This window comes from Homo sapiens, chromosome 1 (genome assembly GCF_000001405.40).
Source record: "Homo sapiens chromosome 1, GRCh38.p14 Primary Assembly".
In the NCBI taxonomy this organism is placed as follows: domain Eukaryota; kingdom Metazoa; phylum Chordata; class Mammalia; order Primates; family Hominidae; genus Homo; species Homo sapiens.
Genome location: NC_000001.11, coordinates 121,649,125 through 121,667,273, shown reverse-complemented (window position 1 = coordinate 121,667,273; position 18,149 = coordinate 121,649,125). Strand labels below are relative to the sequence as shown.

Genomic DNA, 18,149 nt, shown 5'->3' with positions numbered 1-18,149 from the left:
AGAGCTGAGCATATCTTTTGATGGCGCATTTTCCAAACACACCTTTTGTGGAATATGCAAGAGGATTTTGGGACTTCTCTGAGAATTTCGTTGGAAACGGGATAAACCTCACATAACTGAAGAGGAACATTCTCAGAACTTCTTGGTGATGTTGGCATTCAACTGACAGAGTTGAACCTTCCCTTGTGAGTTCAGGTTGAAACGCTCTTTTCGTAGGATCTGCAAGTGGAGGTTTGGAACGCTTTGAGGCCTACGGTAGTAAAGGAAACAGCTTCATGTAAAAACTGGACAGAAGCATTCTCAGAAAATGCTTTCGGACGATTGAGTTCAACTCACAGAGCTGAACATTCCTTTGGGTGGAGCAGTTTGGAAACACACTTTCTGTAGACTCACCAGGTGGATATTTGGACCTCTCTGAGGATTTCGTTGGAAACGGGATAACGTCACCTAACTAAACAGAAGCTTTCGCAGAAACATCCTTCTGACGTTGGCCTTCAAAGTCCAGAGTTGAGCCTTCCTTTGGTAGTTCACGTTTGAAACACTCTTTTTGGAGGACCTGCAAGTGGATATTTGGAGCACTTTGTGGCCTTCGTTCGAAACGGCTATATCTTCACGTAAAATCTAGACAGAAGCCTTCTCAGAAACTTCTCTGTGATGATTGCATGCAACTCACAGAGTTGAACGTTCCTTTTGATGGAGCAGTTTTGAAACTTTCTTTTGCTAGCATCTGCAAATGGATAGGTGGAACTCTGTGAAGACTTCTTCGGAAACGGGAATATCCTCACGTAAAAAGTAAACAGAAGCATTCTCAGAAACTCCTTTGTGAGGCTTGTGTTCAACTCCCAGAGTATAACATTGCTTTTCATAGAGCAGTTTTGAAACATTCTTTTCGTAGAGCCTCCAAGTGGACATTTGGAGCGCTTTCAGGCCTGCGGTGGAAAAGGAAATATCTTCACATAAAAACTAGAGAGAAGCATTGTCAGAAACTTCTTGGTGATGATTGCATTCAACTCACGGAGCTGAGGATTCCTTTGGATGCAGCAGTTTGGAAACACTCTTTGGGTGGAATCTGCAAGCAGATATGTGGACCTCTTTGAACATTTCGATGGAAAAGGGATAATCTTCCCGTAAAAGCTAAACGGAAGCATGCTCAGGAACTTCCTTGTGATGTTTGCATTCAACTCACAGAGTTGTACTTTCCTTCTGATAGAGCAGCTTTGAAACCCCCTCTTTCTAGCATCTGCAAGGGGACATTTGGAGGGCTTCGAGGCCTGGGGTGGAAAAGGAAATATCTTCTCATCAAAGCTACATGGAAGCATTCTCAGAAGCTGCTTTGTGATGATTGCATTCAAGTCACTGAGTTGAACATTCCCTTTGATGGGGCCGTTTGGAAACACATTTCTGGTAGAATCTGAAAGGGGAGATTTGGACCGCTTTGTGGCCTATGTCAGTAGAGGATATAACTGTACATAAAAGCGAGAAAGGAGCATTCCCAGGAAACGCTTTGTGACCATTGAGTTCAACTCACAGAGCCGAACATTCCTTTGGGTGGAGCAGTTTCCAAACACACTTTGTGTAGAATCTGCAAGTGGAGATTTGGACCGCTCTGAGGATTTCGCTGGATACGGGAGAAAAGTCACCTACGTAAACAGAAGCATTCTCAGAACCTTCTTCGTGATGCTTGCATTCAACTCACAGTGTTGAACCTTTCTCTGACAGTTCAGATTTGAAACACTCCTTCTGCAGAATCTGCCAGTGGAGATTTGGACCTCTTTGAGGCCTATCGTAGTAAAGGAAAGAACTTCATCTAAAAACAAGACGGAAGCATTCTCAGAAAATTCTTTGCAATGATTGAGTTTAACTCACAGAGCTGAGCATATCTTTTGATGGCGCATTTTACAAACACACCTTTTGTGGAATATGCAAGTGGATTTTGGGACTTCTCTGAGAATTTCGTGGGAAACGGGATAAACCTCACATAACTGAAGAGGAACATTCTCAGAACTTCTTGGTGATGTTGGCATTCAACTGACAGAGTTGAACCTTCCCTTGTGAGTTCAGGTTGAAACGCTCTTTTCGTAGTATCTGCAAGTGGAGGTTTGGAACGCTTTCAGGCCTACGGTAGTAAAGGAAACAGCTTCACGTAAAAACTGGGCAGAAGCATTCTCAGAAAATACTTCGGGACGATTGAGTACAACTCACAGAGCTGAACATTCCTTTGGGTGGAGCAGTTTGGAAACACACTTTTTGTAGACTCCGCAGGTGGATATTTGGACCTCTCTGAGTATTTCGTTGGAAACGGGATAACGTCACCTAACTAAACAGAAGCTTTCGCAGAAACATCCTTCTGACGTTGGCCTTCAAAGTCCAGATTTGGCCTTCCTTTGGTAGTTCACGTTTGAAACACTCTTTTTGGAGGACCTGCAAGTGAATATTGGGAGCACTTTGTGGCCTTCATTCGAAACGGCCATATCTTCACATAAAATCTAGACAGAAGCATTCTCAGAAACTTCTCTGTGATGATTGCATGCAACTCACAGAGTTAAACATTCCTTTTGATGAAGCAGTTTTGAAACTCTCTTTTGCTAGCATCTGCAAATGGATAGGTGGAACTCTGTGAAGACTTCTTTGGAAACGGGAATATCCTCACGTAAAAAGTAAACAGAAGCATTCTCAGAAACTCCTTTGTGAGGCTTGTGTTCAACTCCCAGAGTATAACATTGCTTTTCATAGAGCAGTTTTGAAACATTCTTTTCGTAGAGCCTCCAAGTGGACATTTGGAGCGCTTTCAGGCCTGCGGTGGAAAAGGAAATATCTTCACATAAAAACTAGAGAGAAGCATTGTCAGAAACTTCTTGGTGATGATTGCATTCAACTCACGGAGCTGAGGATTCCTTTGGATGCAGCAGTTTGGAAACACTCTTTCGGTGGAATCTGCAAGCGGATATGTGGACCTGTTTGAACATTTCGATGGAAAAGGGATAATCTTCCCATAAAAGCTAAACGGAAGCATGCTCAGGAACTTCCTTGTGATGTTTGCATTCAACACACAGAGTTGTACTTTCCTTTTGATAGAGCAGCTTTGAAACCCCCTCTTTCTAGCATCTGCAAGGGGACATTTGGAGGGCTTCGAGGCCTGGGGTGGAAAAGGAAATATCTTCTCATCAAAGCTACATGGAAGCATTCCCAGAAGCTGCTTTGTGATGATTGCATTCAAGTCACCGAATTGAACATCCCCCTTGATGGGTCCGTTTGGAAACACACTTTTGGTAGAATCTGAAAGGGGAGATTTGGACCGCTTTGAGGCCTATGGCAGTAGAGGATATAACTGCACATAAAAGCGAGACAGGAGCATTCCCAGGAAACGCTTTGTGACCATTGAGTTCAACTCACAGAGCTGAACATTCCTGTGGGTGGAGCAATTTCCAAACACACTTTGTGTAGAATCTGCAAGTGGAGATTTGGACCGCTCTGAGGATTTCGTTGGATAGGGAGAAAAGTCACCTACGTAAACAGAAGCATTCTCAGAACCTTCTTCGTGATGCTTGCATTCAACTCACAGTGTTGAACTTTTCTCTGACAGTTCAGGTTTGAAACACTCCTTCTGCAGAATCTGCAAGTGGAGATTTGGACCTCTTTGAGGCCTATCGTAGTAAAGGAAAGAACTTCATCTAAAAACAAGACGGAAGCATTCTCAGAAAATTCTTTGCGATGATTGAGTTTAACTCACAGAGCTGAGCATATCTTTTGATGGCGCATTTTCCAAACACACCTTTTGTGGAATATGCAAGTGGATTTTGGGACTTCTCTGAGAATTTCGTTGGAAACGGGATAAACCTCACGTAACTGAAGAGGAACATTCTCAGAAGTTCTTGGTGATGTTGGCATTCAACTGACAGAGTTGAACCTTCCCTTGTGAGTTCAGGTTGAAACGCTCTTTTCGTAGTATCTGCAAGTGGAGGTTTGGAACGCTTTGAGGCCTACAGTAGTAAAGGAAACAGCTTCATGTAAAAACTGGACAGAAGCATTCTCAGAAAATACTTTGGGATGATTGAGTTCAACTCACAGAGCTGAACATTCCTTTGGGTGGAGCAGTTTTGAAACACACTTTTTGTAGACTCTGCAGGTGGATATTTGGACCTCTCTGAGGATTTCGTTGCAGACGGGATAACGTCACCTAACTAAACAGAAGCTTTCGCAGAAACATCCTTCTGACGTTGGCCTTCAAAGTCCAGAGTTGAGCCTTCCTTTGGTAGTTCACGTTTGAAACACTCTTTTTGGAGGACCTGCAAGTGGATATTGGGAGCACTTTGTGGCCTTCGTTCGAAACGGCCATATCTTCACATAAAATCTAGACAGAAGCATTCTCAGAAACTTCTCTGTGATGATTGCATGCAACTCACAGAGTTAAACATTCCTTTTGATGGAGCAGTTTTGAAACTCTCTTTTGCTAGCATCTGCAAATGGATAGGTGGAACTCTGTGAAGACTTCTTTGGAAACGGGAATATCCTCACGTAAAAAGTAAACAGAAGCATTCTCAGAAACTCCTTTGTGAGGCTTGTGTTCAACTCCCAGAGTATAACATTGCTTTTCATAGAGCAGTTTTGAAACATTCTTTTCGTAGAGCCTCCAAGTGGACATTTGGAGCGCTTTCAGGCCTGCGGTGGAAAAGGAAATATCTTCACATAAAAACTAGAGAGAAGCATTGTCAGAAACTTCTTGGTGATGATTGCATTCAACTCACGGAGCTGAGGATTCCTTTGGATGCAGCAGTTTGGAAACACTCTTTCGGTGGAATCTGCAAGCGGATATGTGGACCTCTTTGAACATTTCGATGGAAAAGGGATAATCTTCCCGTAAAAGCTAAACGGAAGCATGCTCAGGAACTTCCTTGTGATGTTTGCATTCAACTCACAGAGTTGTACTTTCCTTTTGATAGAGCAGCTTTGAAACCCCCTCTTTCTAGCATCTGCAAGGGGACATTTGGAGGGCTTCGAGGCCTGGGGTGGAAAAGGAAATATCTTCTCATCAAAGCTACATGGAAGCATTCTCAGAAGCTGCTTTGTGATGATTGCATTCAAGTCACCGAGTTGAACATCCCCTTTGATGGGGCCGTTTGGAAACACACTTTTGGTAGAATCTGAAAGGGGAGATTTGGACCGCTTTGAGGCCTATGGCAGTAGAGGATATAACTGCACAGAAAAGCGAGACAGGAGCATTCCCAGGAAACGCTTTGTGACCATTGAGTTCAACTCACAGAGCTGAACATTCCTTTGGGTGGAGCAGTTTCCAAACACACTTTGTGTAGAATCTGCAAGTGGAGATTTGCACCGCTCTGAGGATTTCGTTGGAGAGGGAGAAAAGTCACCTACGTAAACAGAAGCATTCTCAGAACCTTCTTCGTGATGCTTGCATTCAACTCACAGTGTTGAACTTTTCTCTGACAGTTCAGGTTTGAAACACTCCTTCTGCAGAATCTGCAAGTGGAGATTTGGACCTCCTTGAGGCCTATCATAGTAAAGGAAAGAACTTCATCTAAAAACAAGACGGAAGCATTCTCAGAAAATTCTTTGCGATGATTGAGTTTAACTCACAGAGCTGAGCATATCTTTTGATGGCGCATTTTCAAAACACACCTTTTTTGGAATATGCAAGTGGATTTTGGGACTTCTCTGAGAATTTCGTTGGAAATGGGATAAACCTCACGTAACTGAAGAGGAACATTCTCAGAACTTCTTGGTGATGTTGGCATTCAACTGACAGAGTTGAACCTTCCCTTGTGAGTTCAGGTTGAAACGCTCTTTTCGTAGTATCTGCAAGTGGAGGTTTGGAACCCTTTGAGGCCTACGGTAGTAAAGGAAACAGCTTCATGTAAAAACTGGACAGAAGCATTCTCAGAAAATACTTTGGGATGATTGAGTTCAACTCACAGAGCTGAACATTCCTTTGGGTGGAGCAGTTTTGAAACACACTTTTTGTAGACTCTGCAGGTGGATATTTGGACCTCTCTGAGGATTTCGTTGGAGACGGGATAACGTCACCTAACTAAACAGAAGCTTTCGCAGAAACATCCTTCTGACGTTGGCATTCAAAGTCCAGAGTTGAGCCTTCCTTTGGTAGTTCACGTTTGAAACACTCTTTTTGGAGGACCTGCAAGTGAATATTGGGAGCACTTTGTGGCCTTCATTCGAAACGGCCATATCTTCACATAAAATCTAGACAGAAGCATTCTCAGAAACTTCTCTGTGATGATTGCATGCAACTCACAGAGTTAAACATTCCTTTTGATGAAGCAGTTTTGAAACTCTCTTTTGCTAGCATCTGCAAATGGATAGGTGGAACTCTGTGAAGACTTCTTAGGAAACGGGAATATCCTCACGTAAAAAGTAAACAGAAGCATTCTCAGAAACTCCTTTGTGAGGCTTGTGTTCAACTCCCAGAGTATAACATTGCTTTTCATAGAGCAGTTTTGAAACATTCTTTTCGTAGAGCCTCCAAGTGGACATTTGGAGCGCTTTCAGGCCTGCGGTGGAAAAGGAAATATCTTCACATAAAAACTAGAGAGAAGCATTGTCAGAAACTTCTTGGTGATGATTGCATTCAACTCACGGAGCTGAGGATTCCTTTGGATGCAGCAGTTTGGAAACACTCTTTCGGTGGAATCTGCAAGCGGATATGTGGACCTCTTTGAACATTTCGATGGAAAAGGGATAATCTTCCCGTAAAAGCTAAACGGAAGCATGCTCAGGAACTTCCTTGTGATGTTTGCATTCAACTCACAGAGTTGTACTTTCCTTTTGATAGAGCAGCTTTGAAACCCCCTCTTTCTAGCATCTGCAAGGGGACATTTGGGGGGCTTCGAGGCCTGGGGTGGAAAAGGAAATATCTTCTCATCAGAGCTACATGGAAGCATTCTCAGAAGCTGCTTTGTGATGATTGCATTCAAGTCACCGAGTTGAACATCCCCTTTGATGGGGCCGTTTGGAAACACACTTTTGGTAGAATCTGAAAGGGGAGATTTGGAACGCTTTGAGGCCTATGGCAGTAGAGGATATAACTGCACATAAAAGCGAGACAGGAGCATTCCCAGGAAACGCTTTGTGACCATTGAGTTCAACTCACAGAGCTGAACATTCCTTTGGGTGGAGCAGTTTCCAAACACACTTTGTGTAGAATCTGCAAGTGGAGATTTGGACCGCTCTGAGGATTTCGTTGGATACGGGAGAAAAGTCACCTACGTAAACAGAAGCATTCTCAGAACCTTCTTCGTGATGCTTGCATTCAACTCACAGTGTTGAACTTTTCTCTGACAGTTCAGGTTTGAAACACTCCTTCTGCAGAATCTGCAAGTGGAGATTTGGACCTCTTTGAGGCCTATCGTAGTAAAGGAAAGAGCTTCATCTAAAAACAAGACGGAAGCATTCTCAGAAAATTCTTTGCGATGATTGAGTTTAACTCACAGAGCTGAGCATATCTTTTGATGGCGCATTTTCCAAACACACCTTTTGTGGAATATGCAAGTGGATTTTTGGACTTCTCTGAGAATTTCGTTGGAAACGGGATAAACCTCACATAACTGAAGAGGAACATTCTCAGAAGTTCTTGGTGATGTTGGCATTCAACTGACAGAGTTGAACCTTCCCTTGTGAGTTCAGGTTGAAACGCTCTTTTCGTAGTATCTGCAAGTGGAGGTTTGGAACGCTTTGAGGCCTACAGTAGTAAAGGAAACAGCTTCATGTAAAAACTGGACAGAAGCATTCTCAGAAAATACTTTGGGATGATTGAGTTCAACTCACAGAGCTGAACATTCCTTTGGGTGGAGCAGTTTTGAAACACACTTTTTGTAGACTCTGCAGGTGGATATTTGGACCTCTCTGAGGATTTCGTTGGAAACGGGATAACGTCACCTAACTAAACAGAAGCTTTCGCAGAAACATCCTTCTGACGTTGGCCTTCAAAGTCCAGAGTTGAGCCTTCCTTTGGTAGTTCACGTTTGAAACACTCTTTTTGGAGGACCTGCAAGTGGATATTGGGAGCACTTTGTGGCCTTCGTTCGAAACGGCCATATCTTCACATAAAATCTAGACAGAAGCATTCTCAGAAACTTCTCTGTGATGATTGCATGCAACTCACAGAGTTGAACATTCCTTTTGATGGAGCAGTTTTGAAACTCTCTTTTGCTAGCATCTGCAAATGGATAGGTGGAACTCTGTGAAGACTGCTTTGAAAACGGGAATATCCTCACGTAAAAAGTAAACAGAAGCATTCTCAGAAACTCCTTTGTGAGGCTTGTGTTCAACTCCCAGAGTATAACATTGCTTTTCATAGAGCAGTTTTGAAACATTCTTTTCGTAGAGCCTCCAAGTGGACATTTGGAGCGCTTTCAGGCCTGCGGTGGAAAAGGAAATATCTTCACATAAAAACTAGAGAGAAGCATTGTCAGAAACTTCTTGGTGATGATTGCATTCAACTCACGGAGCTGAGGATTCCTTTGGATGCAGCAGTTTGGAAACACTCTTTCGGTGGAATCTGCAAGCGGATATGTGGACCTCTTTGAACATTTCGATGGAAAAGGGATAATCTTCCCGTAAAAGCTAAACGGAAGCATGCTCAGGAACTTCCTTGTGATGTTTGCATTCAACTCACAGAGTTGTACTTTCCTTTTGATAGAGCAGCTTTGAAACCCCCTCTTTCTAGCATCTGCAAGGGGACATTTGGAGGGCTTCGAGGCCTGGGGTGGAAAAGGAAATATCTTCTCATCAAACCTACATGGAAGCATTCTCAGAAGCTGCTTTGTGATGATTGCATTCAAGTCACCGAGTTGAACATCCCCTTTGATGGGGCCGTTTGGAAACACACTTTTGGTAGAATCTGAAAGGGGAGATTTGGACCGCTTTGAGGCCTATGGCAGTAGAGGATATAACTGCACATAAAATCGAGACAGGAGCATTCCCAGGAAACGCTTTGTGACGATTGAGTTCAACTCACAGAGCTGAACATTCCTTTGGGTGAAGCAGTTTCCAAACACACTTTGTGTAGAATCTGCAAGTGGAGATTTGGACCGCTCTGAGGATTTCGTTGGATACGGGAGAAAAGTCACCTACGTAAACAGAAGCATTCTCAGAACCTTCTTCGTGATGCTTGCATTCAACTCACAGTGTTGAACCTTTCTCTGACAGTTCAGGTTTGAAACACTCCTTCTGCAGAATCTGCAAGTGGACATTTGGACCTCCTTGAGGCCTATCGTAGTAAAGGAAAGAACTTCATCTAAAAACAAGACGGAAGCATTCTCAGAAAATACTTTGCGATGATTGAGTTTAACTCACAGAGCTGAGCATATCTTTTGATGGCGCATTTTCAAAACACACCTTTTGTGGAATATGCAAGTGGATTTTGGGACTTCTCTGAGAATTTCGTTGGAAAGGGGATAAACCTCACGTAACTGAAGAGGAACATTCTCAGAAGTTCTTGGTGATGTTGGCATTCAACTGGCAGAGTTGAACCTTCCCTTGTGAGTTCAGGTTGAAACGCTCTTTTCGTAGTATCTGCAAGTGGAGGTTTGGAACGCTTTGAGGCCTACGGTAGTAAAGGAAACAGCTTCATGTAAAAACTGGACAGAAGCATTCTCAGAAAATACTTTGGGATGATTGAGTTCAACTCACAGAGCTGAACATTCCTTTGGGTGGAGCAGTTTTGAAACACACTTTTTGTAGACTCTGCAGGTGGATATTTGGACCTCTCTGAGGATTTCGTTGGAAACGGGATAACGTCACCTAACTAAACAGAAGCTTTCGCAGAAACATCCTTCTGACGTTGGCATTCAAAGTCCAGAGTTGAGCCTTCCTTTGGTAGTTCACGTTTGAAACACTCTTTTTGGAGGACCTGCAAGTGGATATTGGGAGCGCTTTGTGGCCTTCGTTCGAAACGGCCATATCTTCACATAAAATCTAGACAGAAGCCTTCTCAGAAACTTCTCTGTGATGATTGCATGCAACTCACAGAGTTGAACATTCCTTTTGATGGAGCAGTTTTGAAACTCTCTTTTGCTAGCATCTGCAAATGGATAGGTGGAACTCTGTGAAGACTTCTTTGGAAACGGGAATATCCTCACGTAAAAAGTAAACAGAAGCATTCTCAGAAACTCCTTTGTGAGGCTTGTGTTCAACTCCCAGAGTATAACATTGCTTTTCATAGAGCAGTTTTGAAACATTCTTTTCGTAGAGCCTCCAAGTGGACATTTGGAGCGCTTTCAGGCCTGCGGTGGAAAAGGAAATATCTTCACATAAAAACTAGAGAGAAGCATTGTCAGAAACTTCTTGGTGATGATTGCATTCAACTCACGGAGCTGAGGATTCCTTTTGATGCAGCAGTTTGGAAACACTCTTTCGGTGGAATCTGCAAGCGGATATGTGGACCTCTTTGAACATTTCGATGGAAAAGGGATAATCTTCCCGTAAAAGCTAAACGGAAGCATGCTCAGGAACTTCCTTGTGATGTTTGCATTCAACGCACAGAGTTGTACTTTCCTTTTGATAGAGCAGCTTTGAAACCCCCTCTTTCTAGCATCTGCAAGGGGACATTTGGAGGGCTTCGAGGCCTGGGGTGGAAAAGGAAATATCTTCTCATCAAAGCTACATGGAAGCATTCTCAGAAGCTGCTTTGTGATGATTGCATTCAAGTCACCGAGTTGAACATCCCCTTTGATGGGGCCGTTTGGAAACACACTTTTGGTAGAATCTGGAAGGGGAGATTTGGACCGCTTTGAGGCCTATGGCAGTAGAGGATATAACTGCACATAAAAGCGAGACAGGAGCATTCCCAGGAAACGCTTTGTGACGATTGAGTTCAACTCACAGAGCTGAACATTCCTTTGGGTGGAGCAGTTTCCAAACACACTTTGTGTAGAATCTGCAAGTGGAGATTTGGACCGCTCTGAGGATTTCGTTGGATACGGGAGAAAAGTCACCTACGTAAACAGAAGCATTCTCAGAACCTTCTTCGTGATGCTTGCATTCAACTCACAGTGTTGAACCTTTCTCTGACAGTTCAGGTTTGAAACACTCCTTCTGCAGAATCTGCAAGTGGAGATTTGGACCTCCTTGAGGCCTATCATAGTAAAGGAAAGAACTTCATCTAAAAACAAGACGGAAGCATTCTCAGAAAATACTTTGCGATGATTGAGTTTAACTCACAGAGCTGAGCATATCTTTTGATGGCGCATTTTCAAAACACACCTTTTGTGGAATATGCAAGTGGATTTTGGGACTTCTCTGAGAATTTCGTTGGAAACGGGATAAACCTCACGTAACTGAAGAGGAACATTCTCAGAAGTTCTTGGTGATGTTGGCATTCAACTGGCAGAGTTGAACCTTCCCTTGTGAGTTCAGGTTGAAACGCTCTTTTCGTAGTATCTGCAAGTGGAGGTTTGGAACGCTTTGAGGCCTACGGTAGTAAAGGAAACAGCTTCATGTAAAAACTGGACAGAAGCATTCTCAGAAAATACTTTGGGATGATTGAGTTCAACTCACAGAGCTGAACATTCCTTTGGGTGGAGCAGTTTTGAAACACACTTTTTGTAGACTCTGCAGGTGGATATTTGGACCTCTCTGAGGATTTCGTTGGAAACGGGATAACGTCACCTAACTAAACACAAGCTTTCGCAGAAACATCCTTCTGACGTTGGCATTCAAAGTCCAGAGTTGAGCCTTCCTTTGGTAGTTCACGTTTGAAACACTCTTTTTGGAGGACCTGCAAGTGGATATTGGGAGCACTTTGTGGCCTTCGTTCGAAACGGTCATATCTTCACATAAAATCTAGACAGAAGCCTTCTCAGAAACTTCTCTGTGATGATTGCATGCAACTCACAGAGTTGAACATTCCTTTTGATGGAGCAGTTTTGAAACTCTCTTTTGCTAGCATCTGCAAATGGGTAGGTGGAACTCTTTGAAGACTTCTTTGGAAACGGGAATATCCTCACGTAAAAAGTAAACAGAAGCATTCTCAGAAACTCCTTTGTGAGGCTTGTGTTCAACTCCCAGAGTATAACATTGCTTTTCATAGAGCAGTTTTGAAACATTCTTTTCGTAGAGCCTCCAAGTGGACATTTGGAGCGCTTTCAGGCCTGCGGTGGAAAAGGAAATATCTTCACATAAAAACTAGAGAGAAGCATTGTCAGAAACTTCTTGGTGATGATTGCATTCAACTCACGGAGCTGAGGATTCCTTTGGATGCAGCAGTTTGGAAACACTCTTTCGGTGGAATCTGCAAGCGGATATGTGGACCTGTTTGAACATTTCGATGGAAAAGGGATAATCTTCCCATAAAAGCTAAACGGAAGCATGCTCAGGAACTTCCTTGTGATGTTTGCATTCAACACACAGAGTTGTACTTTCCTTTTGATAGAGCAGCTTTGAAACCCCCTCTTTCTAGCATCTGCAAGGGGACATTTGGAGGGCTTCGAGGCCTGGGGTGGAAAAGGAAATATCTTCTCATCAAAGCTACATGGAAGCATTCCCAGAAGCTGCTTTGTGATGATTGCATTCAAGTCACCGAGTTGAACATCCCCCTTGATGGGTCCGTTTGGAAACACACTTTTGGTAGAATCTGAAAGGGGAGATTTGGACCGCTTTGAGGCCTATGGCAGTAGAGGATATAACTGCACATAAAAGCGAGACAGGAGCATTCCCAGGAAACGCTTTGTGACCATTGAGTTCAACTCACAGAGCTGAACATTCCTGTGGGTGGAGCAGTTTCCAAACACACTTTGTGTAGAATCTGCAAGTGGAGATTTGGACCGCTCTGAGGATTTCGTTGGATAGGGAGAAAAGTCACCTACGTAAACAGAAGCATTCTCAGAACCTTCTTCGTGATGCTTGCATTCAACTCACAGTGTTGAACTTTTCTCTGACAGTTCAGGTTTGAAACACTCCTTCTGCAGAATCTGCAAGTGGAGATTTGGACCTCTTTGAGGCCTATCGTAGTAAAGAAAGAACTTCATCTAAAAACAAGACGGAAGCATTCTCAGAAAATTCTTTGCGATGATTGAGTTTAACTCACAGAGCTGAGCATATCTTTTGATGGCGCATTTTCCAAACACACCTTTTGTGGAATATGCAAGTGGATTTTTGGACTTCTCTGAGAATTTCGTTGGAAACGGGATAAACCTCACATAACTGAAGAGGAACATTCTCAGAAGTTCTTGGTGATGTTGGCATTCAACTGACAGAGTTGAACCTTCCCTTGTGAGTTCAGGTTGAAACGCTCTTTTCGTAGTATCTGCAAGTGGAGGTTTGGAACGCTTTGAGGCCTACAGTAGTAAAGGAAACAGCTTCATGTAAAAACTGGACAGAAGCATTCTCAGAAAATACTTTGGGATGATTGAGTTCAACTCACAGAGCTGAACATTCCTTTGGGTGGAGCAGTTTTGAAACACACTTTTTGTAGACTCTGCAGGTGGATATTTGGACCTCTCTGAGGATTTCGTTGGAAACGGGATAACGTCACCTAACTAAACAGAAGCTTTCGCAGAAACATCCTTCTGACGTTGGCATTCAAAGTCCAGAGTTGAGCCTTCCTTTGGTAGTTCACGTTTGAAACACTCTTTTTGGAGGACCTGCAAGTGGATATTGGGAGCACTTTGTGGCCTTCGTTCGAAACGGCCATATCTTCACATAAAATCTAGACAGAAGCATTCTCAGAAACTTCTCTGTGATGATTGCATGCAACTCACAGAGTTGAACATTCCTTTTGATGGAGCAGTTTTGAAACTCTCTTTTGCTAGCATCTGCAAATGGATAGGTGGAACTCTGTGAAGACTGCTTTGAAAACGGGAATATCCTCACGTAAAAAGTAAACAGAAGCATTCTCAGAAACTCCTTTGTGAGGCTTGTGTTCAACTCCCAGAGTATAACATTGCTTTTCATAGAGCAGTTTTGAAACATTCTTTTCGTAGAGCCTCCAAGTGGACATTTGGAGCGCTTTCAGGCCTGCGGTGGAAAAGGAAATATCTTCACATAAAAACTAGAGAGAAGCATTGTCAGAAACTTCTTGGTGATGATTGCATTCAACTCACGGAGCTGAGGATTCCTTTGGATGCAGCAGTTTGGAAACACTCTTTCGGTGGAATCTGCAAGCGGATATGTGGACCTCTTTGAACATTTCGATGGAAAAGGGATAATCTTCCCGTAAAAGCTAAACGGAAGCATGCTCAGGAACTTCCTTGTGATGTTTGCATTCAACTCACAGAGTTGTACTTTCCTTTTGATAGAGCAGCTTTGAAACCCCCTCTTTCTAGCATCTGCAAGGGGACATTTGGAGGGCTTCGAGGCCTGGGGTGGAAAAGGAAATATCTTCTCATCAAACCTACATGGAAGCATTCTCAGAAGCTGCTTTGTGATGATTGCATTCAAGTCACCGAGTTGAACATCCCCTTTGATGGGGCCGTTTGGAAACACACTTTTGGTAGAATCTGAAAGGGGAGATTTGGACCGCTTTGAGGCCTATGGCAGTAGAGGATATAACTGCACATAAAATCGAGACAGGAGCATTCCCAGGAAACGCTTTGTGACGATTGAGTTCAACTCACAGAGCTGAACATTCCTTTGGGTGAAGCAGTTTCCAAACACACTTTGTGTAGAATCTGCAAGTGGAGATTTGGACCGCTCTGAGGATTTCGTTGGATACGGGAGAAAAGTCACCTACGTAAACAGAAGCATTCTCAGAACCTTCTTCGTGATGCTTGCATTCAACTCACAGTGTTGAACCTTTCTCTGACAGTTCAGGTTTGAAACACTCCTTCTGCAGAATCTGCAAGTGGACATTTGGACCTCCTTGAGGCCTATCGTAGTAAAGGAAAGAACTTCATCTAAAAACAAGACGGAAGCATTCTCAGAAAATACTTTGCGATGATTGAGTTTAACTCACAGAGCTGAGCATATCTTTTGATGGCGCATTTTCAAAACACACCTTTTGTGGAATATGCAAGTGGATTTTGGGACTTCTCTGAGAATTTCGTTGGAAAGGGGATAAACCTCACGTAACTGAAGAGGAACATTCTCAGAAGTTCTTGGTGATGTTGGCATTCAACTGGCAGAGTTGAACCTTCCCTTGTGAGTTCAGGTTGAAACGCTCTTTTCGTAGTATCTGCAAGTGGAGGTTTGGAACGCTTTGAGGCCTACGGTAGTAAAGGAAACAGCTTCATGTAAAAACTGGACAGAAGCATTCTCAGAAAATACTTTGGGATGATTGAGTTCAACTCACAGAGCTGAACATTCCTTTGGGTGGAGCAGTTTTGAAACACACTTTTTGTAGACTCTGCAGGTGGATATTTGGACCTCTCTGAGGATTTCGTTGGAAACGGGATAACGTCACCTAACTAAACACAAGCTTTCGCAGAAACATCCTTCTGACGTTGGCATTCAAAGTCCAGAGTTGAGCCTTCCTTTGGTAGTTCACGTTTGAAACACTCTTTTTGGAGGACCTGCAAGTGGATATTGGGAGCGCTTTGTGGCCTTCGTTCGAAACGGCCATATCTTCACATAAAATCTAGACAGAAGCCTTCTCAGAAACTTCTCTGTGATGATTGCATGCAACTCACAGAGTTGAACATTCCTTTTGATGGAGCAGTTTTGAAACTCTCTTTTGCTAGCATCTGCAAATGGATAGGTGGAACTCTGTGAAGACTTCTTTGGAAACGGGAATATCCTCACGTAAAAAGTAAACAGAAGCATTCTCAGAAACTCCTTTGTGAGGCTTGTGTTCAACTCCCAGAGTATAACATTGCTTTTCATAGAGCAGTTTTGAAACATTCTTTTCGTAGAGCCTCCAAGTGGACATTTGGAGCGCTTTCAGGCCTGCGGTGGAAAAGGAAATATCTTCACATAAAAACTAGAGAGAAGCATTGTCAGAAACTTCTTGGTGATGATTGCATTCAACTCACGGAGCTGAGGATTCCTTTTGATGCAGCAGTTTGGAAACACTCTTTCGGTGGAATCTGCAAGCGGATATGTGGACCTCTTTGAACATTTCGATGGAAAAGGGATAATCTTCCCGTAAAAGCTAAACGGAAGCATGCTCAGGAACTTCCTTGTGATGTTTGCATTCAACTCACAGAGTTTTACTTTCCTTTTGATAGAGCAGCTTTGAAACCCCCTCTTTCTAGCATCTGCAAGGGGACATTTGGAGGGCTTCGAGGCCTGGGGTGGAAAAGGAAATATCTTCTCATCAAAGCTACATGGAAGCATTCTCAGAAGCTGCTTTGTGATCATTGCATTCAAGTCACCGGGTTGAACATCCCCTTTGATGGGGCCGTTTGGAAACACACTTTTGGTAGAATCTGGAAGGGGAGATTTGGACCGCTTTGAGGCCTATGGCAGTAGAGGATATAACTGCACATAAAAGCGAGACAGGAGCATTCCCAGGAAACGCTTTGTGACGATTGAGTTCAACTCACAGAGCTGAACATTCCTTTGGGTGAAGCAGTTTCCAAACACACTTTGTGTAGAATCTGCAAGTGGAGATTTGGACCGCTCTGAGGATTTCGTTGGATACGGGAGAAAAGTCACCTACGTAAACAGAAGCATTCTCAGAACCTTCTTCGTGATGCTTGCATTCAACTCACAGTGTTGAACCTTTCTCTGACAGTTCAGGTTTGAAACACTCCTTCTGCAGAATCTGCAAGTGGACATTTGGACCTCCTTGAGGCCTATCGTAGTAAAGGAAAGAACTTCATCTAAAAACAAGACGGAAGCATTCTCAGAAAATACTTTGCGATGATTGAGTTTAACTCACAGAGCTGAGCATATCTTTTGATGGCGCATTTTCAAAACACACCTTTTGTGGAATATGCAAGTGGATTTTGGGACTTCTCTGAGAATTTCGTTGGAAAGGGGATAAACCTCACGTAACTGAAGAGGAACATTCTCAGAAGTTCTTGGTGATGTTGGCATTCAACTGGCAGAGTTGAACCTTCCCTTGTGAGTTCAGGTTGAAACGCTCTTTTCGTAGTATCTGCAAGTGGAGGTTTGGAACGCTTTGAGGCCTACGGTAGTAAAGGAAACAGCTTCATGTAAAAACTGGACAGAAGCATTCTCAGAAAATACTTTGGGATGATTGAGTTCAACTCACAGAGCTGAACATTCCTTTGGGTGGAGCAGTTTTGAAACACACTTTTTGTAGACTCTGCAGGTGGATATTTGGACCTCTCTGAGGATTTCGTTGGAAACGGGATAACGTCACCTAACTAAACACAAGCTTTCGCAGAAACATCCTTCTGACGTTGGCATTCAAAGTCCAGAGTTGAGCCTTCCTTTGGTAGTTCACGTTTGAAACACTCTTTTTGGAGGACCTGCAAGTGGATATTGGGAGCACTTTGTGGCCTTCGTTCGAAACGGTCATATCTTCACATAAAATCTAGACAGAAGCCTTCTCAGAAACTTCTCTGTGATGATTGCATGCAACTCACAGAGTTGAACATTCCTTTTGATGGAGCAGTTTTGAAACTCTCTTTTGCTAGCATCTGCAAATGGGTAGGTGGAACTCTTTGAAGACTTCTTTGGAAACGGGAATATCCTCACGTAAAAAGTAAACAGAAGCATTCTCAGAAACTCCTTTGTGAGGCTTGTGTTCAACTCCCAGAGTATAACATTGCTTTTCATAGAGCAGTTTTGAAACATTCTTTTCGTAGAGCCTCCAAGTGGACATTTGGAGCGCTTTCAGGCCTGCGGTGGAAAAGGAAATATCTTCACATAAAAACTAGAGAGAAGCATTGTCAGAAACTTCTTGGTGATGATTGCATTCAACTCACGGAGCTGAGGATTCCTTTGGATGCAGCAGTTTGGAAACACTCTTTCGGTGGAATCTGCAAGCGGATATGTGGACCTGTTTGAACATTTCGATGGAAAAGGGATAATCTTCCCATAAAAGCTAAACGGAAGCATGCTCAGGAACTTCCTTTTGATGTTTGCATTCAACACACAGAGTTGTACTTTCCTTTTGATAGAGCAGCTTTGAAACCCCCTCTTTCTAGCATCTGCAAGGGGACATTTGGAGGGCTTCGAGGCCTGGGGTGGAAAAGGAAATATCTTCTCATCAAAGCTACATGGAAGCATTCCCAGAAGCTGCTTTGTGATTATTGCATTCAAGTCACCGA

General features: G+C 43.2%; 5 annotated features.

The window, feature by feature from the left end:
- Window positions 2-570: an enhancer, noted in NCBI's record as "OCT4-NANOG hESC enhancer chr1:121408502-121409070 (GRCh37/hg19 assembly coordinates)". NCBI's record gives its function as "activates a minimal SCP1, AML or CMV promoter by ChIP-STARR-seq in primed H9 embryonic stem cells {active_cell/tissue: H9 hESC(primed)}" and the evidence as "EXISTENCE:reporter gene assay evidence [ECO:0000049][PMID:30033119]".
- Window positions 571-1,140: an enhancer, noted in NCBI's record as "OCT4-NANOG hESC enhancer chr1:121407932-121408501 (GRCh37/hg19 assembly coordinates)". NCBI's record gives its function as "activates a minimal SCP1, AML or CMV promoter by ChIP-STARR-seq in primed H9 embryonic stem cells {active_cell/tissue: H9 hESC(primed)}" and the evidence as "EXISTENCE:reporter gene assay evidence [ECO:0000049][PMID:30033119]".
- Window positions 6,974-7,761: an enhancer, noted in NCBI's record as "OCT4-NANOG-H3K27ac hESC enhancer chr1:121401311-121402098 (GRCh37/hg19 assembly coordinates)". NCBI's record gives its function as "activates a minimal SCP1, AML or CMV promoter by ChIP-STARR-seq in primed H9 embryonic stem cells {active_cell/tissue: H9 hESC(primed)}" and the evidence as "EXISTENCE:reporter gene assay evidence [ECO:0000049][PMID:30033119]".
- Window positions 9,379-9,956: an enhancer, noted in NCBI's record as "OCT4-NANOG hESC enhancer chr1:121399116-121399693 (GRCh37/hg19 assembly coordinates)". NCBI's record gives its function as "activates a minimal SCP1, AML or CMV promoter by ChIP-STARR-seq in primed H9 embryonic stem cells {active_cell/tissue: H9 hESC(primed)}" and the evidence as "EXISTENCE:reporter gene assay evidence [ECO:0000049][PMID:30033119]".
- Window positions 9,957-10,535: an enhancer, noted in NCBI's record as "OCT4-NANOG-H3K27ac hESC enhancer chr1:121398537-121399115 (GRCh37/hg19 assembly coordinates)". NCBI's record gives its function as "activates a minimal SCP1, AML or CMV promoter by ChIP-STARR-seq in primed H9 embryonic stem cells {active_cell/tissue: H9 hESC(primed)}" and the evidence as "EXISTENCE:reporter gene assay evidence [ECO:0000049][PMID:30033119]".